At 34.6% G+C, this 27,152-nt stretch overlaps 1 protein-coding gene across 6 annotated transcripts in view; it reads right to left on the reverse strand.

Moving 5' to 3' along the window:
• Positions 1–27,152, reverse strand: part of NELL2 (neural EGFL like 2) — a 413,574-nt gene that overhangs the window by 252,288 nt on the left and 134,134 nt on the right. For all 6 annotated transcript variants that reach the window (XM_011538396.2, NM_006159.2, NM_001145110.2 and 3 more), the window contains 6 exons: positions 19,287–19,460; positions 19,101–19,197; positions 16,680–16,752; positions 16,480–16,562; positions 15,460–15,588; positions 14,185–14,287 (listed from right to left, as the gene is read on the reverse strand). In XM_011538396.2, the coding sequence (XP_011536698.1) occupies positions 14,185–14,287; positions 15,460–15,588; positions 16,480–16,562; positions 16,680–16,752; positions 19,101–19,197; positions 19,287–19,460 (659 nt within the window). The remainder of the gene's footprint in view (positions 1–14,184; positions 14,288–15,459; positions 15,589–16,479; positions 16,563–16,679; positions 16,753–19,100; positions 19,198–19,286; positions 19,461–27,152) is intronic.

A 27,152-nucleotide genomic window follows, 5' to 3' on the forward strand; every position in this document is an offset into this window, starting at 1 on the left:
ATGAGATAAATCCTAAAACCTACTCAAATACATGTAAATATGTAAACATCTAATGTAACAGAAAGGTGTAATGTTCATAAGTGAACAAAATAATCATTTAACAAATGGTACTAGAATTATTGGTTAATTTGTTTGACCAAAAAAAAGTTAACTAGATTATTATCTCATGTACACAAAAAATAAATCCCAGGTTGTTTAAATTTAAAATAAAAAAAGAAGGGGACATTCAGAGGCTGGATAGTAAATATTTGATGAATAAAAAGAGGACAGGGCCTTTTAAAGCATGACAACACTGAAGGCAGAACTATTAGGAAAAGACTAAAAGAATCAATTACGTGAAATTTTACATATTTTTCATTGAAAAACAAAAGAAACATTATGAAAACATATTTGCAACATATATATTAGATAAGTTTTATCATAAAAAGACCTCTTACAAATGAGTAAGAAAAATGCAAATAATTAATTTTTAAAGTGGACAACATACATGAAAAATTATTTCATAAAACAAATACACAGCCTGGTGCGGTGGCTCATGCCTGTAATCCCAGCACTTTGGAAGGCCAAGGTGGGCAGATCACCTGAGGTCGGGAGTTCAAGACTGGCCTGACTAACATGGAGAAACCCCATCTCTACTAAAAGTACAAAATGAGCCGGGTGTGGTGCTGCATGCCGGTAATCCCAGCTTGGGATTACTTGGGAGCCTGAGGCAGAAGAATTGCTTGAACCCGGGAGGCGGAGGTTGCGGTGAGCCAAGATTGCGCCACTGCACTCCAGCCTGGGCAACAAGAGCGAAACTCCGTCTCAAAAACAAACAAACAAACAAACAAAATTAAAAAACAAGAAATGTTTATACATTGTTAGTGGGAACGTAAATTATTAGAACCTCTTCAGAAAACAATATGGAGATTTCTCAAAGAACTAAAAATAGAACTACCATTCAACCCAGCAATCTCACTATATGGTATCTACCTAAATGAAAAGAAATTATTATAGTATATTAAAATATATAGCAGGACTATTCACAACAGCAAAGTCATGGAATTAACATAACTGTCCATCAATCCAGCCCATCAATGTAATGACTGGATAAAGAAAGTGTGGCATATATACATCATGGAATACTACACAACTGTAAAAAAGAATGAAATCACATCTTTTGAAGCAGCCATAGATGGAGCTGGAGGCCATTAACCTAACTAAAATAACTCAGAAACAGAAAATCAAATACTGCATGTTCTCACTTATAAGTAGGAGCTAAACAATGGGTACACATGGACGTACAAAAGGAAATAACAGATAGTGGGGAGTTCAAAAGGGAAGAGTAGAAGGGGCGTGAGGGTTGAAAAATTACCTACTGGGTATCATGTTCAGTATTCAGGTGATGGGCACACTAAAAGCTGAAACTTCAGCATTATACAATATATCCATGTAACAAACCTGTACATGTGCCCCCTGAATCTATAAAAATAAAATACATTAAATATGTTTTAAAACACAACAAAAAAATAGAAATTGTCAACAAACATAATGAAAAAAAAATTCAACCATCCAGATTTTTACCTCCACTTTAGTCCTTTATTCCAGACTCCAGGCTCAAATATCCAACTAGTTGCACTACATTGCCACTTAAATGGCTAACACACCTCTTAAACATAACATGTCTAAATTGAACTTGATCTTAGCCACTCTCCCAAATCCAGCTCAATTACCAGCCTTTCCAATCTCAGGTATTAGCAACTCTGTCCTCTTACTTCCTTGATACAAAAACCTTGTAATCATCCTCAACTCCTCTCTTTCACTCATACCCATTTCTCACCATTAAAATTCCTGTTGGCTCTACCTTCAAAATATAGTACATCCAAAACCTAATCATTTCCCATAACTTCCACCTAATGAAGCTACCATCATTTCTTCCCTGTATAACTTCAAAAACAGACCTGTCTTGCCTAAAATGTGTAACCAGCAATCCACTGCCCTTGGCGTAATAATAAAACTCCTTAATTTAACGCCATCCTACCTCTTCAGCTGAAACTCATAGTATGACTCTCTGCACAGCAGTCACCTCTGCCACCTTTCACAACATGACACCTCACTACACAGAGCCTCTGAATATTCAATCTCTCAGCTTACACATTCCTCTTTCTCCTCTTCACTAGTTAAATGCTATTTTTTATTAGAACTCAACTCCAACATCTTTTTCTCAGGAATACCTTGCCTGATCTCCCTGATGGTAGAATTTTACTTATTTCAGGTGCTTTATCAACACCTTAATACTGCACCATTGCATTGCATACTTGACCATTACATGATTACAGAAAAGATATTTGGTGGTAAAACACTTATTTCACCTTTATTTCACTTAATTTCTATATGCCTAGAACAATCATTCCATATTACTATTTCTAGATCATTTCAAGAAATATTCTCCAGCTCATAAATTCATTCCTAGGCACATGGAAAACTCAGCCAGGACAGTTAATCCAATTCTTACATCCCATTTCATATTCTACTGATTGTCTCCCCCAGCTCTAAGTCCTTCAGCATTTAGGAACTGTGGTCTGAAGAGACATTAATACATTAAATAAATCAGTGAACAAGTACAATGTGCATCTTGTTCTATACCAGCCCACTCCCTCCCTTCTTTCCAACTAAGAAATAAAAGTGACCTTTCTGAGATTCAGGGCCTGAGAAATGCTGGAGGTAGACTACAAGCATGAACATAGATGGGCGAATTATTAACATTGCTTTGCCGTAAAAGGTCCTAATTTGTGGTCAGGAAAGCTCATTTTTTTATTGGTTTAAAAGCATGATGCTTACCCACAAAATAGTATGAAAAGAATACGTTATCTACTGCATTTTTTCCTCTTTCTCAAAGCATAATAAAGGATTAGCCTCCTAAATCTAATAATAATGATTTAGGCAAACAAACAAACAAACAAACAAAAGGCTCTTGGTTTGTGTTTTCTTACAAATAATGCTACAGTAAATTACAATATCCTAAAACTGGTTAAAAAGGCTTGAATAGGTTAAACAAAGACCAAGAGAATATCCAGGGCCATCTGCAAACACTTGCTTTTAGCATCATGAGATATATTTGTGCGGGCTCACTAACTCCTTGTAAATCACCATCTTTAAAATAACTTCAAGAATCAAGTGGTACAGAGCACAATTCTACGAGGAAGGATTAATGGGAGAATTTTTACAAAGGAGGAAAGAGAAGTTAAGCTTATGGAAAATGCATTATCCTAAATTTTTCTAATGCTGTATTGCTTTTATTAATCTTCTTATCCTTACAAGATTTACAATAAAAAAAACAAAGACTTCATCGTATTTGGAGTACTAATAGTTAACAAGTTGGAAGAGAACAGTTTAATTTTGCATTGAGACAGCACAATCTTTCTCAGCAGAACCACCCAGCATAAACTAAAACTATTTTATGGGACTACCCCAAGCTACTAAAGGCCTGGGAAATTAGACAGATGTGATTTATTCCACAAGTATTCAGAAAAAGACCTCATCTAATACAAATGTAAAGAAAAGTTTTTCAAAAAGCTTTTGGGACCAAAGAAGAATTCGACATTATCACTGACTTCTAAGAATTCCAGTTAATAATCAAGGTAGGTCTAAACCTTTTACATAGATACTTTTAATTTTAACTCAGTGTGTTTTCTCTATTCTTTATTTATCAAAAACAAGTAAAATCCAACCAGAAGGCATTTGCTTTTGAAATTTCTCTTCCTGAACTATCAGAATTGATAGTTTCTGTTCCATGTATGAAGTCTTACAAAGTAATGAAAAGTTATGCTTTCAATAATAGGCATACACATTTCATTTTAATACGAAATACTAGAAGATTTACTTTTGATTTTTCCCTCTTCTCTTACTAATCATAGAGAAATAACTATTATAAAATCATATTTCCTAAGTACTTACATAATCACTAAACATATGGGTAATTAAAATCCTTGATGTCTCCAGAACATCACAAACTAAATTCTCCATTCAAACTAATTTTCTATTTCCATTGATGAAATATGTTACAAATCATATGAGACAATGTATAAGAAACACTGCATATGTTTAAATTGTGGTGCTGCCACTTTACTAGCTGGCTTATCTCAGGCAACAGCAGTAACCTCCCTAAGCTTCACTTTCATCTGTAAATTGGGAGCCATTATGAGAAACAAGAGCTTTCACACTTAGAAAATACTTTTAAAATGTCAGCTTAAAACATCCCTAAAACATATCCTGACATCTTACTGCATACTTAAGATCAAAAAGAGAGAGAGAGAGAAAAAAAAAAGCAATACTGAGCTCCTGGACAGTCAGGGATGCACACCTGTTAGCTAAGTCCTTGCTAATTGAAGCATGTTCCATGAACCAGCAGTGTTTGCCTCACCTGGGAACTGGTTAGAAATGCAAACTTACAGGTCCCACCCTGAAACACTGATTCAGGATTCTTATTTTAACACAATCTCCAGATGATTCCTATCCCCATTAAAATTTAAGCGGCACTGAGCTAAGTGACGTGCTCCTGTATACAGACCTTACAGCTTGTCTGAAAAAAATTCAGGTCTCAGCAAAATTACCAATGTTATGAATCATTGAGGTCATCTTCCAATGGTTAAAATCATAAATAATTATATCTGCATATTATCTATTGTGCTATATGGACTTCAAATTATCTTTCCTGGGTTACTGAGTTTGTTGCACAAGTATTTGTGAGACATCTCTTTATAATTTGCAATAATATTGATAAGTGAGGGTCATTATGAAAGCAGCCGAGAATTTTTTTTTTAAGTTCACAATGTAACTAAAGTATACAGTCAATAACTCCAGATCTGAGCCTTAAATCCTAAAACCCTGATATGGCCCTATGGCTTAACCCAAATTCCAGAGACCATGTAGCCAGTTCCCTAATATAGACAACATTCTAGCAACTGAGGTGAAACGGGTGTGAACAGGAGCTGCAGCTATTTAGAAACAAAATCTAAGTGAGGCTCTAGTACATAATATAGGTGAAATATATACTGTGGCTCAGAGTGGGATTGCAGCAGATATTCTGACAAATAGATATGTTACCAGCTTAACATTCCTAAATTGGAAGAAGCTCCGTTCTTACCACCACCAACTCCAAGAACAATTTTTAAGGCAATTTCATGTGGTATTTTTTTATAGTTAAATATTTTTAAATTGGGGGCCAGGTTTTGCATAAAAGAAAATGTGCTTAAACTGTACTCCATCTCAACCATCTTTAAACTGAAATGAGTCTGAATTGGCAGGATGCAGTGGCTCACGCCTGTAATCTGAGCACTTTGGGAGGCCGAGGTGGGCAGATCACTTTAGGTGTTTGAGACCAGACTGGCCAAAATGGCCAAACCCCATCTCTACTAAAAGTACATAAATTAGCTGAGCATGGTGGCTGGCACCTGTAATCCCAGCTACAGGAGGTGGAGGCTGCAGTGAGTCAAGATTGTGCCACCACACTCCAGCCTGGGTGACAGAGCAAGACTCCGTATCAGAAAAAAAAAAAAAAGAAAGAAATGCATCTGAATTCTGCTTTATCACAATCATCTCTAAATTGAAAAAGTGAATTCCTTTCTGTCCCTTCCTCATACTAAGCTCCTATATCATTGTTTTCTTTAATTCTTAATCTATAATAACTTTATACCATTTATAAATATGTACAGAAAACTGAAGGCCACATACCATTTTCAAGGTAGCCATTGGAGAGGCCAGTGCAGCTGGGTTGTTGTTTTGTACGTTTGGTTGAGGACATGGGTGCTGTGGCTTTATTCTCCAGTGGGCACTATGTTGTCCCTTTACCTTTATTGTGCAGTTGGGTTGTCGGAATTGCTACTTTCCACGTAATTGCCAAAATCAACTTCTAAGATGCTTTAAATTGCATATGTCTCATTCTTGCCTATTCTTACTTCAAAATGCAATTTTGTATTATCTCAATTGAGAACAAAATAAGCTCATTTTTAAACAATTACTTAACAGCACTGGAGATAAAAAGTTGCATTTTCTGCCTAGGTTGAGTGTTTTTCTTCTCTCTTAAATTGGGTCTCCTATGAATGATACCTAGATTATCACTCTTTTGCTTTGGTATAAATCTGAAATCCTCTTACTTATTTCAAAGCCTTATGATACTAAGAAGGAGGACTAGCCTTCTGATCACCTAAAGAATCCCATTTTGGTCCCCTAGAACTGTGCTAGACAGTTTGATTTAATTATTATTGCAGATAGATTTGCATAACGCTTTCTTCTGAAAAGTCTTTGGTCACTTAAGCAATGCCATTATATGTGCAGAGACATTCTTTTGAGAAAGTGTAATGGGACATGAAAAATAATAAAATCCACAAAACACATTTATTCAAGGATTTTAATAATGAAGAGAAATTGCAATTCAGAGTGAAGAACTAGAAGCTGAGTACTGTCTATTATTTTTTAATAAAACATAATTAAATAGGCACAGTATAATGCCTTAGAGCCAGAGGACAGTATCCGTGTTACGTCTACCGGAAAACCCACTTTCATATCAGACAAAAGGGGAGGTCAATACATTCTTATGCCATCTGTGGAATTTATTGAAGATGCAGAGCAGCAATTAATTTAACAACAATTTTATATGAGTGCACCAGACAACATTGTTTGTGGTAAAATAAGAATGTTTGGGCTTCCATTGACTATTTCTCATTAAAAGATCTCCCATAAATTGCCATTTTCTTGTCAAGGTTGCCTGGGAAAGAGAACAAAAGCCCCCCAATGCCTTTTCTAAACACCTACTGAAACCCGGAGAGACGTGCTGTTTTCAGGCTTCCCTCAGCACTTCCACCTGGTGCTCCCTTGCCAAAGGAAGAAAACATCTGGGACCATCTTCTTGTAGAATAATTTGGCAAAAGCTGGCAATATTAAAAGTGTCATAGTCTTTGACCCAGCAACTCCACCCTTAGCAACTTACTCTATAGAAAAAAGCCATAAGACTGCACCAAGATTATGCATTAATGGCTTCCTGCAATATTATTTCTCATAACAAATGTATAAATTAGTTAGAAACAATCAAAATATCTTTAGAGAGGGAAGAAATAAAATAATAAACTATATAGTGGGATAATATGCAACTATTTTTATTTAATATGAAAATATCTCCAATATATGTTATTAACAAAAAAACAAAGTTCAGGAAAATGCTTAATATCATTTACAATATATAAAAAGCCTAGACAGGCAATGTGAGTAGACACATTAAAAGTCATCTGGAGGGAAACACAAAAACCAGAAGTTTGGAGGAGAAAGAATAGGGAGGTGTTTATGTTTCATTTTATATCTGTTTGCATGGTTTGCAGATTTATTATATGCATGCATTATTTTTAATTAAAGCATTAAAAATACTGTACTAGGATTGGGAAGAAAGAATGGTAGAGTTAAACTACTTACACTACCCAGGACTAGCATACAGGACACAGCAGCTAAGTCACTGTGACATTGTAATCACTCTGTGATTCTGCCCTACATTTCCCTGGCATTGCAGCTCTGCTATGAGCTGACTAATTAACAGTAGATTTATATTTTTCTAAAGATCATTAAAATATATCACATGCTGTCTCACAGCCTTAATCTGAAGGCTGCATTGTTAATTATTCTAGTTTATTAATATATTGCCAATTCGGTATTTTTCCACTGATTGGACATCATTTTTTATAATGTTTAAAAGGTAGCAGCATGCCAAGTGCCTTTTTAAAGGGTTTTTTTTTTAATTAAGATAAAATTAATGACAGTACAGTATTTAGGAAGCCTACAGGATTATCTTGATGAAATCTCTCTTTAAAAATTTAGCTATTTGTCTTTAGAGAAAACATTCCCTATCAGAAGCTCATTATCTTAAAGTAATATACAAGTGAACTATTTTCTTGCCTATTTGTCACATATACCTATAGAATTATAAAAGTGTTCTAATTCTATGATTTATTCAATGTTATTTCAAATACTAAATTAAAGTAATTTTAGTGAGAAAAGACCGTCCAGACCAAGGCTGGATATGTGATTTCCAGTGACACCATTAGCTTTCAGCTCAATTTTTTGCTGTGTCATAAAATTCCTTATTCACTACAGACTTTCAAGAAATATTCTTAAAACAGCGCATCTGATACGTAAAACAACACACCTTTCTTTTGATTGCTACTTCTACCTTTTTCATTATTACATAATTCCTCTCATTTTATATTGGCATTCTATTCATGTGGCCCCTCGTGTCTCTATCACACCAACTAATTTATAATTGTGTTCATGCATGAGAACCTCCAGTACATCCTAAATATTTCCCATGCTTCCAGCATTATTGTAAAAATAGCTATGTTTACTGGTTACTTTGTTTCAAAATTATTTTCTTTTTCACCATAGCCTACATAAATTATGTTTTCCCCCTCTGTTAAAAACAAAAAAAAATTATTGGTGAATTATATTCTGCTGATTTTTGTTGAAAAGTCAAGAACACATGTTCAGAAATCTCTGATTCCATTTTATCAGATTATCATCCAATTTTTAAAATCACTAAGTACTTGAGCAGCAATCATTTAATCTCCACTACCCTTACTTTGCTACACATTTTAAGGTGACAGGACTAGAATCATCTATATTGATGTGCAAATAAAATAAGCCTCCCAAATTACCACTTCTACTAAAAGCAAGAAAATAGTTCTTTGGAAAAGTATAAATAGAAAATACTTACTCTTACTTTTTATTATTTAATATTAATGAAAGCAGCCCATAAATATACAAAAAGGCACTCATCTTCATTAGTCACCTGGGAAATAACAAAATTAGGCCGCGGTACAATATCATTTACCAACATCATTTATCAGAATGTTAAAATTAAAAAGACTAAAAATGCCAAGTGTGGGTGAGGGTGTGGGGCAACTGGAATTTTCCTACCTTGTTGGTGAGAAAATAAACTAGTATAAGCACTTTGGAAAACTGTTTGGAAAACTGGTTTTGCCATAGAGTCAAACAGTTTTACCCTCTGACCAAACAATTCCACTGTTTTAAATATATACCCATCAAATACATACATAACTAAGACCAAGAAACATGTAAAGAATTATTCTATGAGTACTATTCACATAGCCCAAATCGGCAAACTACCTAACTGCCATCCAACAATAGACTGAATTGTGGTACATAAACACAAATAAAATATATGCAGCAATAAGTATAACTGATCTGCAGTGGACGTCAAAATGATACAATAAGTATGAATGAGATGCAGCTACATTTTTGACCCGCATCAGAAATATGGATGAGCCTCACAAAGGTGATTCTGAGTACAAGAAGCCAGACACACAAAACAGTACATAATAATGAGATATTAGTTCTGGGTTTCAACCTTGATTAAGATACGCCCACAATATTGAGGAAGAGAGTGGTCTTGGGGAAATCAGGACACAATTTGAGAGAAAAAAATTACCGTGCATTACATACTATTTGATCTTAGTAATGTCACAATCTACCTGGCTTCATTATTCTTCTATAAAATGGGAATAATGAAACCATACCTCCCAAAAGCAAATGGCTATTTCAAAGAACTCTTGAGGTCCTACGTAGCTTTAAAATCTAAAGCTAATGAACTAATGAGATCATTTCACTACTTTGTATTTTTATCAATAAAAACATGAGTGACTCTTTTAATAAAAACAGTAATAACAGTTAACATTGTTCTAAGCACTTTACATTTATTACCTATTCAGTGCTTACACAGCCCCTATAAAGTAGATACAATTGTTATTTCCATTATACATATGAGGCAACTGAGTCCATGAGAGGTTAAGCAATTTGACCAAAGTCTCACAGCTAATAAGTTGTGGAGTCAGAATTCAGACCCAGAAAATCCGACTTGTAACTCACAGAATTAACTATTCAATATGCAAAGATATTACAGTAAGTCCACTTTAACTAAACCAAGATGGCTTTTAAAATTAAGTTTAAAATAATCTGATGTCTAATCAGCACATAGAATATTAAAGTGTAATCTATATTATATACTGAAACTCTGACCTTGCTCAACCAAAAGAATGATGATTTGTATTTATTCATATAATTCTGGACTCTGAGGAAATACCACTTAAACTAACTGTTGCTACTAGGCAAATACCAACCAGTTCTGATGGTCACATTCACATTCCCTGTATTTGAGAACTCTCTAACAATGGAGGAAAGACATTACAGCATCAGTTCAGATTTGCCTCAGATTCCCTATTCTCATGAACCGCCTTTCCTGTGAAGCAGAGCTCTGTACACAAGCCTGAATCTACAATCAATATAAATAAATAAATAAAGGCATGCATCCATGTAATAGCATTAATATTCAGAAAAATTAAATTGTTTCCTAAATTCAGTGACTTTCAGTAACATTTGATTTCCTAGAATTTCAGTCAATTATTTTCTGATAATTTTTTTTTTAAACCTGGGTTGAGATTTTATGTACTTTAATCATATCTTGACCTCATTCTATTTCAGAGTTAAGGTCACCTAAAATATTTATACTTTCCATTTTCTACAGCTATCTTGAATATGTGTCACTAAATGTCCCTGTTTGCTAGTTGAGAGCCTGAGACCGGGATAAAGGATGTGGAGGAGATGGTGACTGAAAGGAAAGAGGATGAGTGGTGAAGGCAAACTCTGCTGCCTAAGACTCAACCAGGATTCCAAAACACCTCTGGTGAGCTTAGCAACTGGTCGATAAAAGTAGATCACTTAGATTAATTATAACAGATGGTTTTTTTAAAAAAAAAAAAGGAAAGCAGGCTGTCAAACACAGCACTTTCAGATGGAACTTCTCTGAGACCTCTAACTAACTGCACGTTCCTGAATGACTTGGAATTCTCCTTATTAGGAAGATGGAGATAATACGTACTTATAGAGCTGTAAAGATCAAATGAGGCACAAAGTATGTGTCTTGTAACCTATAGGAGAAATATGGCTTCATTATGGCTGTAATTACTATGGCTTTAACGATTTGGCCTTGGCATTCCTGCCTTTGGATTTTATCCTCTCTGTTTAACTCCAGCACACTATTTTAATGGTCCAGGCAGGAAATTAAGCCCCTCCTCCCAATGCTTTGTTTATGTAGATTCAACTAAAGAAAAGGCTTGGTTTCTTCTGACTTCTTTCCCAGAACAACAACCATCTTGCTATTCATCAGTATTTATATTCAGATAACGAGCTGGAGTTGAAGTTACCGAGGGAAAGTATAAAGGAAGCTGCAAAATAGGACTGCCCAGAAATGCGCAAACAACTCCGATGAAGCAAGCCTGAAAGCATTAAAGGAAGAGCACCAAAAAGTGACTGGCCACATGCACGTGTTTCGTTCATTTCAATCTTGGCAGAGTCACATTCAGCAGTTAGGTTATACGCTTTACCTTCCAAGGGCTTTAGAAACAGTAAGCTATTAATCTCTTTAAGCTGTTTTCAATAATAATCTATTTTATCAGGTTTTGTCATTAAAAAGGCAGTTGAGCAGAAGCGTTTCAAAGATAGGATCAATGTAGGGTCTAAGAAGAGGGCTTATATTTATATTTAAAAGAGTAAAAAACATAGGAATTTACTTCTACTCCACTAAAATTAGATTTTCATAAATTATAACAGTGACACTACTGTGGAATTAACATAGGAAAATAAGACTGTTTCTCCTCACATGCAATGGTGATACACACACACACGCACAAACACACATACAAGACATCATAGACATGTGTAACTATTGGTTTCTCCCACTTTTTTTAAATACATATGAAAATCTGTACTATTTAAGTCAGTCAGTCAAAGGATTACTATTACATTTATTTTAAGTGTTATTTGTCTTCTACAAGACTTTTCAGAAGCACATTTTCTGGATATTGTCAGTGACTTATTTTTAAATTGTGCTTTGCAGAGACTCATTCCCAAAAAGAACCGCTAAGAATATTCACCATATGAACTAAATGCTTATTTCCCTAAGGGGAAATATCTATGGCTGTTTACTGAAATGTCTTGCTAGCTCTAGTAAAATGTTAAATTCATTAAAACTAAAATTTCAAATCTTTGAAATAACAAGCAAACATAAGCATGAACCCTCTCTATTCCTCTCTATTCCATGGTACTTATATATCATTAAATGTGAACAGAAAGATAAAGTCGCTTAATACTTATTATTTTTTAGCCATATCTAATGAGGGCCTATGGCTTTTTTTTTTCATTATGTTGTGGTCTGCTCACTGATCACTCACTTCCAGCTTTAACTATTTTCTATATGAAGCAAACAGTTGGTTTTCAATCATTAACACCAAAGACTGCCTGAAACACTCTTCATTAATGAATCTCAAAACATTTTATCATTTCATTATGTCTAACCGCATGTTTATTGGGAAGAATTCAAGCATTAGTCCGATTTAGTCTGCAGTTTACTCTTGGTAACACAGGCAAATGGTAAGATGAGAATTGAAATTCACTTCTGACGAATCTCTCACAATGGCCCGTTATTTCAATCAACCTGTATCTAATAACACTGACATCACTTAATGCAAATCTGTCATATCCATGAATAACAACATAAAATTATGGATGTAAAGAAAGATAAAAGAAGTTAAAGCAGGGCAGGGCACGGTGGCTCACGCCTGTAATCCCAGCACTTTGGGAGGCTGAGGCGGGCGGATCACGAGGTCAGGAGATCGAGACCATCCTGGCTAACAGGGTGAAATCCCGTCTCTACTAAAAATACAAAAAAATTAGCCCGGCGTAGTGGCAGGCACCTGTAGTCCCGACTACTCAGGAGGCTGCGGCAGGAGAATGGCGTGAACCTGGAAGGCGGAGCTTGCAGTGAGCGGAAATCACGCCACTGCACTCCAGCCTGGGCGACAGAGCGAGGCTCCGTCTCAAGAAAAAAAAAAAAGAAGTTAAGGCAAAAAGTATGATTCCTTGCTATTGTATTATGAATATGAAGCCATATATGTATATATGGTCCTTCTTCCTTCCTCTTTCTAACCACCTACAAACAAAACTATATATTGCCACAAGCCTCCTTTTATTAAGAGAAGTCCTAGAAAAATGCAGATTATTTCTCACCAAGGAAATTAGCTAGTGACATGTAAGAAAAATTGTATTCAATCCTTCCTAGTTCCACTGAATCGACTTGACTAGGCTAATACAGTCTTATGAGACGGACTGGCTTCAATGTAAAGCCTAATAGAATTAAATATAAATGCCTTCCTGAGGGAATTAAATCAACGGACTATGAAGCAACTTCTTGATTTTTCTCTGATAGCTTGTCACCCTCACCAGCAGTAGCACATTGCTACTGTCTTTCTCTCCACCCCGCCGCCACTTCTCCCTACTTTGTCTTTTTGAGAGTATACATATAAATACACTTGCATTTACAGAGCTCTATATATTCCACAAACTTTAAAACAACTCAGTTTTCATGTATGTTACTACTCCTTTGTGGAAAAAACAGCAAAATTTTTAAACACTCTTTTTAACAAAGGTTTAAGTGAAGTCTTTTAAAGTATAAGAAACATAAATAAATTATTTCCATTATTTATTGAACGATCTAGAACCCAGTTAAGGGTAGTTACAGATGAGTCAAAAAGTATTTTCTGACAACCGAAGTGAACTGCTATATAATGACTGCTAAAAGGCAGAAAAGCTTCCACACATGGTGGTGTGAGCCTTTTTTTCCCTGAATGAAGGCCATGGCCCTTATCTACACTGGACAATCCTATAATAATGTGGACTTCTGTTGTTTGGGCTAATGGAACAGCATATCTTCTGCTGCTGAAGGCCACTTGTATCATGGATTTCTTTGGTTATTGCAGCCGTGTGAACCATTCTTAACCTATTTGGGAGACACTTACAATAAATAGTACAATTAGTGAAATAACTTCCAGTAAGTTTCTTACACATGTTTCCTACTACTATCACTATATGGAATAGATTACTCCAAGAAAAAATTGTCCTACTGGAATAGGGGCATAGCATTTTAAAATGGAAAAGAACTAATCAACCAAAACAGAGAAAGTATTCTTCCTTTATTCCATCACTTCTGAAAGCTATTTAGCTTGCCCAGATTAAACCAATGATGGGTGAATACTTATTAATACAGTGCTTTATTTTTCCAAAGAAAGTATTCATCATAAAAGTTATGCTCACATTTGCATTCCTTACAGCATTTGCCATCCACATACGCAAGAGCCGACTTAAGTGGGCAGTCAGGATTTGGGCAGATTAGAGTTTCACACTGGATGGTTCCATTCTGAAAAGGAAACAATATTTAAAGAATTTCCATGTTAGAGTTTAGTAGTTTTCAAGAATTTTTGAATTCATTCCTTAAATTTTAAACTCTTCATGTGAAGAGAACAGAACAGGCCATTCATTGCCAGGAGGGGAGGCGGTGCTGACAATCACCACAAGGAGGCGCCAAACTGGAGACAGGACCACCGCAAGGAATTTGATTCCTAAAGGTGGCCAGAGCTCCCAGGTAGCTGGCTGCTCGGGCTTCCCATTTTATTGACTTCACTATACCACATTCCGTCTTCTACTCAATTTAACCTTTGCTCCCCATTTAAAAAATTTAGGAACATATCATGTTCCTGAATAAAAACTGTATCATGCACACGAACATGCACGCACGCACACACACATGCATGTGCGTGCGCACGCACACACACACACACAGTTCTGAACTACTTTTGATCTTTTTATATGCATGATATTCTGTTTTTGAATAAACTGGATGAACTTTGAGAAATTTTTTTAAAAGCCTAATTCACATAGATGTCTGACTTCTTTCCAGAAAACCAGCTTTAACAGATGAGTTCATGTGTAATTTAAAAGTTTAAAACCAAACTCTTTGAACTTTTCTTTGAAAATGAACATATATTTCTGAAATCATAATGCAATAAAATATTCTACTTCATTAGCGAGCAATTAGCAAAATCACATTTATTTAAACTTTATAATTTGTATTCCACTGTATTAATAAACTATTAGATTGTCCCAATCATTTAAACTCTATCTAATTTGCTTATATTGCTCAATCTGGACACAATATTTAATGCTGCATATGACTTAGTTTCATGAAAATGCATTCATGAAAACACAAGGGAGAAAAATCTCTGGAAATGTTAAGGATAAGAGGATAGTCTTCTTTAGGAATCACTTTACCTAATTTAAATTGCTAACTTCATGTGTGTACCAATAAACTTAAACTTTATAGCATTCCTAAACCATAATCATCTTTAGAAGCTAGAAAGTGTTTTTAATAATGCAACACAGTTCTTTAGATATGACCAGGTTTGTTGACACTTTAGTGTTGTGTCTTGAGGAAATGGGTCTTGAAATTTTCATGATTACATTGTTTTAATAAATTTTTAAAGAGTGGGAGCATCTGAGTTCCCTTAGTCTCAACTCAAATAGAAGCCATACCAGGCATGTGCAGTTCTTACAGCCGTCTATCCAGGACTCAAATTCTCGGTAGGTGGTTCCCTTCATGGTGCAAGTCCTTTCACAATAGCACTGATCCAATCTATTCATTCGCTGTTCAGCTCGAGACAGCTGTGGCACAAAAGAACGGGTTTTACATTGTTCATCCTTCCAGCAACACAGAAATGTGAAACACTCCGCAGGTATCTTTTTTTTAAAGTATGTAGCAATGATGATGGCTGTGCTTATCAACCACTTGCCATAAACATATTTAAGACTTTAATTTAATTTAAAAGAATGTTTTTTTCTCTCCTCTTCTTTTTGTGATAAATTTGCTCCCTGCCTTAGAAACAAACAACATAATTTATAAGACATAAATCAAAGGTTAATTCAAAACATCACTCAAATGCAGAGAAGCACTTTCCATTTAAAAGAAAAATGTTTAATTTCATTTATATGCTTCTTCAAGTAAAAAAATAAAATTCAGAATTTATGTTGTATAAGAAACAAATCATACACCATACAACACAACCATCAGGTATTCTGTAACTACTATACAAAATTACAAGTCTAGTGAAATTGTAGGTAAACCTGACATATGCTTAAGATATTAGTAAATAATCCTAGAACTGTAACATAGTGGTAGAAAGCATTTATGGGACCATTTCTTTGATACAATTCTGGTGTCTATATTCTTTACACTGTCCTACTGCCTCCTTGCTTGTAATGAAAAACTGAATAAAAATAAATAATAATAAAAGCTAAACAATAAATCCTCCTGTAGTAAGCAGTGTATAAATTAGGTAATCTGCCTCATTCCTGATTTACTGAATTATTTGTTATACAGATGGCTAGGGTTTTAATATTTATAAGCCTTTCCTTAAGCAGAGATTTAGATTCAGTCCTAGCAAACAGTATAGTATAAGAAGAGCCTCGAAGGTGAAAATCTATGGTTATAAATGGAAGTATTGGGAACATCAAGGATTTTTAAGCTTCCACACTGTATTCTTGAGTAGCTTTTACCTTGGCTGATGTTTTGGCTAAAATATCCTGTAGCTCCATGATTTTCTGCACAAGTCCATGGAAGTCATTGCAAGTTGGACAGGCTGGAATTACAAACACTACATTTGGTCAAGATGCATTTATAAGGGGTTCAATCTGGTTAAGTCTATGCTGACAAGTAATATATGGGGACTCCACAGTGCAAGAACTAATAGACTTACTGCGATTAAGATCTGGGCACTGAGCAATAAATCCCTGGGGCATGACAAGTAATTGGACATCTTGCATTATACCCTGTGTGTGAAAAATAGAAAAAAAAGACATATTACTTTCATTTACCCAAATTATGTTCAATGGTCAAGTTCATGAAGGAAAATATTACAGAACACACTCACTAAAATCCCTGAGTAAAAAGTCTTTGTTAATACATTATTTCCACTTCATACCAAAGGGAAAGAAATTCATCAGGCACAATAGATGATTACCCATGTATTCTCTTATTGATAATGTTTTTAAAGCCTTAAGATTAAATGTCAAGATATAACTAAGAGGCAATAGTTATGTTGTTTTGAGAAGTTATTTTTAGTTAGCCACTGACGGGCTTGAAAATGACCTTTAAAAAAATCAACCTGATAATAATTTCTAGCTTCAGCAACTCTGAAATTGATACCAATTTTAAATTAACTTTAATTATTAAAGAAAAGGATAGAAAAACTGAGTCATGAAAGCATGCTCATTTGAGCATCTCATGAAAGTGGGATCTTTTAAAACTAATTTCTCAATTTAAAAAGGACAATAGATTCATTAAACAGCTACAGCAAAATATAGTGATGAGTTCTTATGAGTACAGAAAGTTTAAAATGAAAATTTTTTAAATGTCAGCTGGAAATGACCTGTTTTACATAGAAAATTTTATCACATGTTTATAGGCAAAATTTACATGCATACTTAGTCATTAAGGTATAATTAGCTTCCAGCTTGCTGGGCTCCTAAAGCAAAGACCAATGGTGGCTCAGAAATGATCTATCAGACACATCCAGCTGTCTCTTTTATCTGCCACACTCCCCCCATTTCTTCATGGCCTTTATATATTTTATTAAATTAATATTTTACTTTATCCATTTGAAAAATGCAAACAAAATATCTAATGATAGGAATAACTGTACCAACATGACATCAATATAATTTTAAACGTACCTATAAAGATTTACCAGTCAAATACTGGTCTCTATGTCTTGTACATGTTTAATCTGATTAATAGCATGTATCAATGTGAACGATAAATATTTAAGTATTTTTACTGTGTGGGTATTACTGGATCCAGTGTGTGCTTGGGCCTAGATTGATGAAATAAATTGTGTACCAACTCCTATCACTTAGAAGCAGCAACATAAAAACAAGGCTATCGTGTACGGTTATATAGTTTATGCACTGTACAACTCTAATGGATACTATTTATGGACTACAATAAAGAGAATGACCCCCAGAGTTGTACACATAATTGACATGTGGAGATTTTGAGGCCACACTTAGGCTCCATGGGAAGGACTGTCACGATTAAATAGAGATGAGATTTGGGACTCACAGCACACATCTGCTATCCCTTACCTGGGAAAAGCGCATGGTTTTAGGATTTGCAAGCATGGAACCAATTTCCTATTTGTGTCACTTACTATTTGCCTATCTTTAAGCAAGTTACTTTACCCCTCTGTGCAGGTTTATGCATAATAAAACAGAAATAAAAAATGACCCTGCATCAAGACTAGCAAGGCTACTATTAGATGGAATCATATATTTCAAGTATCTGGTTTCCTGGTAACAGGCAATGCTTAAATAAGTTCCCAAAACACCTTTATAGAATTATAAACTTTGCTTAGAAAACAATTAAATTCACTGGTATGTGATCTACCTTGAAATCTATGAGTTGAACTATCACTTATCATTGTTTGATTTGGTAATCATTCATCGAGCCACTTCCATGTTGTAGGGACTGTCATAGCCACTGGGGGAAAATGATTGCACTATGGGCTTGTAGTCAAGCAATTCTCTGGACTTTATTTCTTCATCTTTAAAATATGGAAAGTTAAATGACATGTCCCTTAGAGCCTCTCCAATGAAGAAATTCTATGAAGTGTTGTCTCCAAGTACATATTAAAGGAAAAGATATAAATTATAACTGCTTTCTCTTTTGACAGATTTGTGCACATATGTGTATTCCTTTCTCACTTTCTGCAGTACAAGGAGACCATGAATAATATATACTAAAAAGCTTTCAATCCGCTATTAACATCTTTGTAAAAGTATCATCAAAGGTTATATTTCAGTGGTGGAGAGTTTATTTGTATGTTAACATTTTAGATTTTTATTGCTTTGAAAGGTTAATTCAAAGAATGACCTGTTAACTGCCCTGATTGCAGCCTTGTGATCATTTCTGTAATATCTAACAATTAAACTCATTGAAAAAAGAAGAGAAAATAATGTTTGCTGGCTAAAATATTACTGTTTAAAAAAATGAAACAGACACAAATTTTCTAATTTACAAATCAAATTATTTTGTTTCACACCATAAAAAGTAAAATCTACTTTTTGAAACTCATTAGAAAGCATTTACATTTCATTCTCAGACTTTTGCCAAAAGATACCTTAAAATATCCATGCGCATTATTTCTCTGTCCTAGCCAAAATGTTGTGCCTAGAGGCAAGTCTGTGGAGGGCTTTTCTACTACCCTTTCATAAATTCTGCAAAAAAGAAACATCAAAGAAGGAACGTGAGTAGACAGTCATTTCTTAGAATCTTCCATTTCCTAAAATGAGGACACTACACTTACTTATTGCAGTCAATGTGTAAAATCAAATGGGAAGCACTGATGGCTAAGGAGAGCTTGTGCCACTTGTCATCAGCCAAAATGTAAGGAAACACTTCTGTGTGAGGGCGGTGACTGCCTGAGCGGTAATGCAGTCTGACTTCATTCCGATGGCCACTACTTTCCAGTTCCAGGTACCTGCAGAGAGAAGAGCCACATGGGACACATTAAAAATAAAGTTCAAAAACGATTGAAGTGATCTCTGTCTACGGGATGGAATAGATGTACTTTTCCTAGTTCTCCCACTAAGTACAACTAGACATCATATACAAAACAAACACAGAAGAATCTAGAAGATAGAGAAAAAAAGATATTCAGGATCCAAGGAACAATATGGTAGTGAGTTCAATGGGTTTCCATTTTGTGTCATATATCCTGGACTTGGAGCTAAAGAAGGCTTCAATCTGGAAATATCAATGAATGTAGACCTAAAAAATCCTCAAGATGAGCCTGCTTTCTCTAGCTGAAGAACAAAGAAAGGATCAGTCTAGCAAGACAGAAACTGCTAGATAATAATCTCTCTGTTCCAGTCAAACATCACAGAAAAAACTGGCCCCATCCCAAACCATGCCAAACAAAAGCTAAGTAAGAAGCTTATATTTCTACCCTGTTCAAGCAGAAATGAGGCATGTAACACCAGAATAGTGTCAGAGAAGGCCAAGTTTAGAGCCAAGAATTTTAACCCTCCCAGGCAGTAATGAGGCCCCCCACAGCACTAGTGAAGACCATACAATGAGGAGCCTGGACTTCCATCTCATCTTGGAAGTAATGAAGCACACTTCCCTTTCCCCGCTGGGATAGTATCAAAGGAAGCCTACTAAGGAGTCAGGAGTTTTATAGTCATCCAGCAGTAATGAAACCACCCCGCCACAGTGCCAGCAGAAACCATATAGGAAGCTGAAACTTCCCCCAACTCAGAAATAAAAGAAGCTTCCCCCTCAACTGTCAACAAAGGCAAGTGGGGAATCTAGACTTCTACCTCCACCTGGCAGTAACAAGATGGCACCCTCCCTTCCCCTGACAAAGCAGTGTCAGAGAAAGCTGGCTAAAACAGGCGGGTTAAATAAGATTCAAGTCTCAGAACATGATACAAACATGTCCAGGTTTCAGTAAAAAATCATTCATTATACCAAGAAGCAAAGAAATCTCCAACAGATTGTAAAAAGAAAAAGAACAGATATCAAGACTAAAATGATAAGGATGTTAGAATTACCCAACAAATATTTTACAGCAGCACTGACAAAAACAATTATGAAAAGACTTAAATGAAAAAAATAGAAAGTTTCAATAAAGAAAAAGAAAAATGGGAAAAAAAATTTAAAACCAAATAGAAACTTCAGAACCAAAAAAATACAATAATGGAAATGAAAGCTCAGTGGATAAAGCTAAACAGCAGAATGGAAGTGACTGTGAAAAGAATCAGTTATCTGGAAGACAGAAAAAAAAGCATCCAATGTGACAAATAGAAGATAGACTGAAAAAAAAGTTGAACAGTCTTAAAGAGCTGTGAGATTATAACAAAAGATCTAACATTTGTATCACTAGCATCCGAGAAAGAGAGGAGAAAGGAGGCGAGCTTAAAAAACAATATTGAAGAAATAATGGCTGAACACCTCCCAAATTTGGCAAGAGATATAAACTCACAGATTCAAGAATCTAAGGAAACCCTAAACAAGATAAACTCAAAACAATTTTCAACTTCATATCAAGCCATATCATAATTAATCTTCTGAAAACTAAAAACAAAGAAAAAATTTGAAAGTAGACAGAGAAAATCTTGCACATTAAGTACAAGGAAAAATTAGAGTGACAGTGTGTTTCTCAGTAGAAACCATGGGAGCCATAAAGAAGTGGTAAAATATTTTTCATGTGACAAAAGCAAAAAGAGCTGTACACGTAGAATTGTATACCCAGCAAAAACATCCTTCAGGAATGAAGAGAAATCAAGACATTCTCAGATAAAGGAAAACTAAGAGAATTTATCATGAGAAGACCTATTTTAAAAGAACAGCAAAATAATGACCTCTAAACAGAAAGAAAAATATAAAATAAAAAGCTTTGGAACATCAGGAAGGTAGAAAGAACATAGTATGTAAAAAAGAAAAATGGGTAAATACAATAAGCTTTCCTTCTCCTCTTTTCTAAAGTATGTTTGACAACTGAAGCAACAGCTCAAAATTGAAGCAAAAGAGTCTGTGTCCTAAATGTATGTTAAACAATATTTAAAGAATTTATGTTATAAATGAGTGAGGGTAAAGAAACATAAAGACAGCTAAAATTTCTATACATCACTCAAACTGGTAAAATGACTATACGAACAATCAGTTATAAGTTATGTATATATAATGGAATACCTACAGCAACCACTTACAAAGCTATACAAAGAGACACACTCATAAACATACAGATAAAATGAAATTGTAAAACAAGTAACCCATGGTAAGAAAAAAAACAGAAAAATAAAACAGAGAGAACAAACATAAAATAAAAAATAAAGTGGCAGACTTAAACTCAAGCATATAATTTTATTAAAAGTAAATAGTTTACATGCATCAATTAAAAGAAAGAGATTAGCAGAAGGGATTAAAAACCATGACCATATTCTGTTGGTAAGAAACTCACTTCAAATATAACAGTCTAGGCAGTTTGAAAGTAAACAAATAGAAAATAATATATATTGAAACTATTAATCAAAGGAAAGCAGAAATGGCTATATTAATTTCAGAAAAATATATTTCAGAGCCAAAAAATACCAAAGACAAACAGAAATGCTATAAAAATGATGAAAAAAATCAATCCATTAAGAAGACATAGCAATTCTCAATGTGTATTACCGAAAACACAGAGCTGCAAAATATGTGAAGCAAAAACTGATAGAATTGAAAGAATACATGGTAAAATCCACAATTACAGTTGCAGACGTCAACACCCCTGTTTCAACAATTATTTGAACAACTAGCCAAAATGTCAAGAATATATAACTCAAAAATACCATCAACCAACAGGATCCACTCAACACTTATAGAACATACCACTCAACAACAACAGAATACACATTCCCTTCAAGTTCCCAAGGGATATATACCAAGGCAGACCATATCTTGAGCCATAAAATAAACCTCAACAAAACAACATTTTAAAAAATTTAAATCACTTAGAGTATGCTTTCCAACCACAACAGAATCACACTGAAAATCAATAACCAGACAATCTCCAAATGTTTTCAAGCTAAATATATTTCTAAATAATCCACAGGTCAAAGAGGAAGGCTCAGGGAAATTTTTAAAAATACATAAAATAAATTAAAATTAAAATTAAATATCAAAAATTGCCAAAAAAACAGGTAAAGCAATACTTGAGAGAGAAATTTATAGCACTAAATGCATATATTAGAAAAGAAGATAAGTCCCAAATCAATAAGCTCCCACCTCAAGAGCAAAGAAAAGGAAGGGCAAAATAAACACAAATCAAGTAGAAGTAAGGAATTAATAAAGAGCAGAAATCAATACAATTTAAAAAAATTGAAAAAAATCAATGAACCACAAGCTGGTTCTTTGAACAGTTCAATAAAATTAATGAACTAACGAAGAAAAAAGAGAAAAGATATCAATATTAAGAGATAAACAGGAGATTTCATTACAGACCCTGCAGATATTGAAAGGTTAATATGGGAATACTAAACTCTAGACAAAAAGTTTGACAAATGACACAAAATGAACTAATTCAAAAACACAACTTACAGAATATGAAACAGATTACTTGTATACTTCTATAATTTTTAAGAAAAGTGAATTCATAAATTTAAAACTCCAAAAAATTAAATCTCCAGGCCCAGAAGTTTCATTGCAGAATTTTCTCACGTAATAAAAGAAGTCATATGAATTCTACACAATCGCTTCCAGAAAGTAACAGAGAGAAAAACTACTAAATTCATTTTATGTATTTATATTGCCCTGACACCAAAAAACAGATAAAGATAGTACAAAAAAGTAAAACCAAAGACAATATGCTCCCTGAGTATATACATAAAAACTGTTAACAAAATGTTAACAAATATAATTCAGCAATATATAAAAACAATGATATACCATAATCAAGTGGGGTTTATTCCAGGGATGCCAGTCTGGTTCAATATTTGAAAATCAATCCATTATACTGACTAACAAAGGAATGAAAATTATTTTATCATATTGACTTATGCAGAAAAAGCATTTGACAAAATTCAGCACCAATTAAAGATGAAACTCTCAGAAAAGTAAGAACAGAGGAGAACTGTCTCAACCTAATAAAAAGCAACTATAAATAAACTACAGTTAACATCATACTCAATGGTGAAAGACCAGATGCTTTCTCTCTAACATCAGAACAAGGCAAACCTCTCGTTCCCACCATTCTTATTCAACATAGTGCTGAAAGCTCTGGTCAGTGCAATAAGAAGAGAAAAGAAAAGAAAAAGGAAAAGGAAAAGAAAGGAAAGAAAAGAAAAAGAATACAGAATAGAAAGGAAGAAGTTAGAAAGTCAATCTTGGCAGATTATATGATAGCCTACATAGAAAATCTCAATAAATCTAGAGGAGTTGGTACCATTCCTTCTGAAACTGTTCCAAACAAAAGGAAAAGAAGGACTCCTCCCTAACTCATTTTATGAGGCCAGCATCATCCTAATGCCAAAACCTGGCAGAGACACAATAAAAAAAGAAAATTTCAGGCCAATATCCCTGATCAACATCCATGTGAAAATCCTCAATAAAATACTGACAAACCAAATCCAGCAGCACATCCAAAAGCTTATCCACCACGATCAAGTCGGCTTCATCCCTGCGATGCAAGGCTGGTTCAACATATGCATATCAATAAATGGAATCCATCACATAAACAGAACCAGTGACAAAAAAACATATGATTATCTCAATAGATGCAGAAAAGGGCTTCGATAAAATTCAACACCCCTTCATGCTAAAAACACTCAATAAACTAGGTATGGATGGAACGTATCTCAAAATAATAAGAACTATTTATGACAAACCCATAGCCAACATCATATTGAATGGGCAAAAGCTGGAAGCATTCCCTTTGAAAACCGGCACAAGACAAGGATGCCCTCTCTCACAACTCTTATTCAACACCGTATTGGAAGTTCTGGCCAAGGCAATCAGGCAAGAGGAAGAAATAAAGTGTATTCAAATAGGAAGAAAGGAAGGCAAATTGTTTTGTTTGCAGATGACATGATTGTATATTTAGAAAACCCCATCATCTTGGCCCCAAAACTCCTTAAGCTGATAAGCATCTTCAGTAAAGTCTCAGAATACAAAATCAATGTGCAAAGATCACAAGCATTCCTATACACCAATAACAGAGAAACACAGAGCCAAATCATGAGTGAACTTCCATTCACAATTGCTACAAAGAGAATAAAATACCTAGGAATACAACTTACAAGGGATGCGAAGGACCTCTTCAAGAAGAACTACAAACCAATGCTGGAAATAAGAGAGGACACAAACAAACGGAAAAACATTCATGCTCATGGATAGGAAGAATCAATATCATGAAAATGGCCATACTGCCCAAAGTAATGTATAGATTCAGTGCTATCCCCATCAAGCTACCATTGACTTTCCTTCACAGAATTAGAAAAAAACTACTTTAAATTTCATATGGAAACAAAAAAGAGCCCATATGGACAAGACAATCTTAAGCAAAAAGAACAAAGCTGGAGGCATCATGCCACCTGACTTCAAACTATACTACAGGCTACAGTAACCAAAACAGCATGGTACTGGTACCAAAACAGATATATAGTCCAGTGAAACAGAACAGAGGCCTCAGAAATAACACCACACATCTACAACCATCTAATCTTTGACAAACCTGACAAAAACAAGCAATAGGGAAAGGATTCCCTATTTAATAAATGGTGCTGGAAAAACTGGCTAGCCATAGGCAGAAAACTGAAACTGGATCCCTTCCTTACACCTTATGCAAAAATTAACTCACAATGGATTAAAGACATAAATGTAAAACCCAAAACCATAAAAACCCTAGAAGAAAACCTAGGCAAAACCATTCAGGACATAGGCACGGGCAAAGACTTCATGACTAAAACACCAAAAGCAATGGCAACAAAAGCACAGTTGACAAATGGAATCTAATTAAACTAAAGACCTTCTGCACAGCCAAAGAAACTATCATCAGAGTGAATAGGCAACCTACAGAATGGGAGAAAATTTTGGCATTCTATCCATCTGACAAAGGGCTAATATCCAGAATCTGGAAGGACATTAAATAAATTTACAAGAAAAAAAACAAACAGCCCCATCAAAAAGTGGGCAAAGACTAACAGACACTTTTCAAAAGAAGACATTTATGCAGCCAACAAACACATGAAAAAAAGTTCATATTACTGGTCATTAGAAAAATGAAAATGAAAACCACAATGAGAAACCATCTCATGCCAGTTAGAATGGCGATCATTAAAAAGTCAGGAAACAACAGATTCTGGAGGGGATGTGGAGAAATAGGAATGATTTTACATTGTTGATGGGAATATAAATTAGTGCAACCTTTGTGGAAGACAGTGTGGCAATTCCTCAAGGATCTAGAACCAGAAATACCTTTTGACACAGCAATCCCATTACTGGTTATATACCCAAAGGATTATAAAGCATTCTACTATAAAGACACATGTACATGTATGTTTTCTGCAGCACTATTTACAATAGCAAAGACTTGGAACCAACCCAAATGCCCATCAATGATAGACTGGATAAAGAAAATGTGGCATATATACACCACGGATTACTATGCAGCCATAAAAAAGGATGAGTTCTTGTCCTTTGCAGGGACATGGATGAAGCTGGAAACCATCATTCCCAGCAAACTAACACAGGAAGAGAAAACCAAACACTGCATTGTCTCACTCATAAGTGGGAGTTGAACAATGAGAACACATGGACACAGAGAGGAGAACATCACGTACCGGGGCCTGTCATGGGGTGGGGGCAAGATGAGGGAGAGCATTAGGACAAATACCTAATGCATGCGGGGCTTAAAACCTAGATGATGGGTTGATGGGTGCAGTAAACAACCATGGCACATGTATACCTATGTAACAAACCTGCATGTTCTGCATATGTATCCCAGAATTTAAAGTATAAAAAAAAACTATCAGAACTAATAAGTTAATTTGGCAGGGTCATAGGATACAATATGACATATAAAAATAATTATATTTCTACAAGCTAGCAAAAATACATGGATACCAAAATTAAAAATACAATATAATTTACAATTACACAGAAAATTTAAAACTACTTAGGTGTAAATCTAACAAAACACAAACAGGTATTATATACTGAAAACAACATAACACTGATGAAAGAAATCAAAGATCTAAATTATGAATAAATATACCATATGCATAAATTGGAAGACTCAATACAGTAAAGAAGTCAATTCTCCCCAGTGTGATATAAATGTTTAATATAATTCCTATAAAAATAATGGCAAAAAATTTAGCTGTAGACAACATTATCCTAAAATTTATACGGAAAGGCAAAAAAATTTACATTAAAATTTATATGGAAGGACATTTAGGCTATTCAAATCAGAATAGCTGAAATAGTTTTGAAGAAGGAATAAAGTAGAAAGAATCAATCTACCCAATTCAAAGACTTTATACAGTACAGTAATCAATACTGTGTAGTATGGGCAGAGGGATAGTCACATATCTCATATGGACAGAGAATCAAGAATATACCCACACAAATATGACCAACTGATTTTTTTACAAAAGAGCAAAGGTAATCCAATGGAGAAAAATATAGCTTT

This window comes from Homo sapiens, chromosome 12 (genome assembly GCF_000001405.40).
Source record: "Homo sapiens chromosome 12, GRCh38.p14 Primary Assembly".
Taxonomy (NCBI): domain Eukaryota; kingdom Metazoa; phylum Chordata; class Mammalia; order Primates; family Hominidae; genus Homo; species Homo sapiens.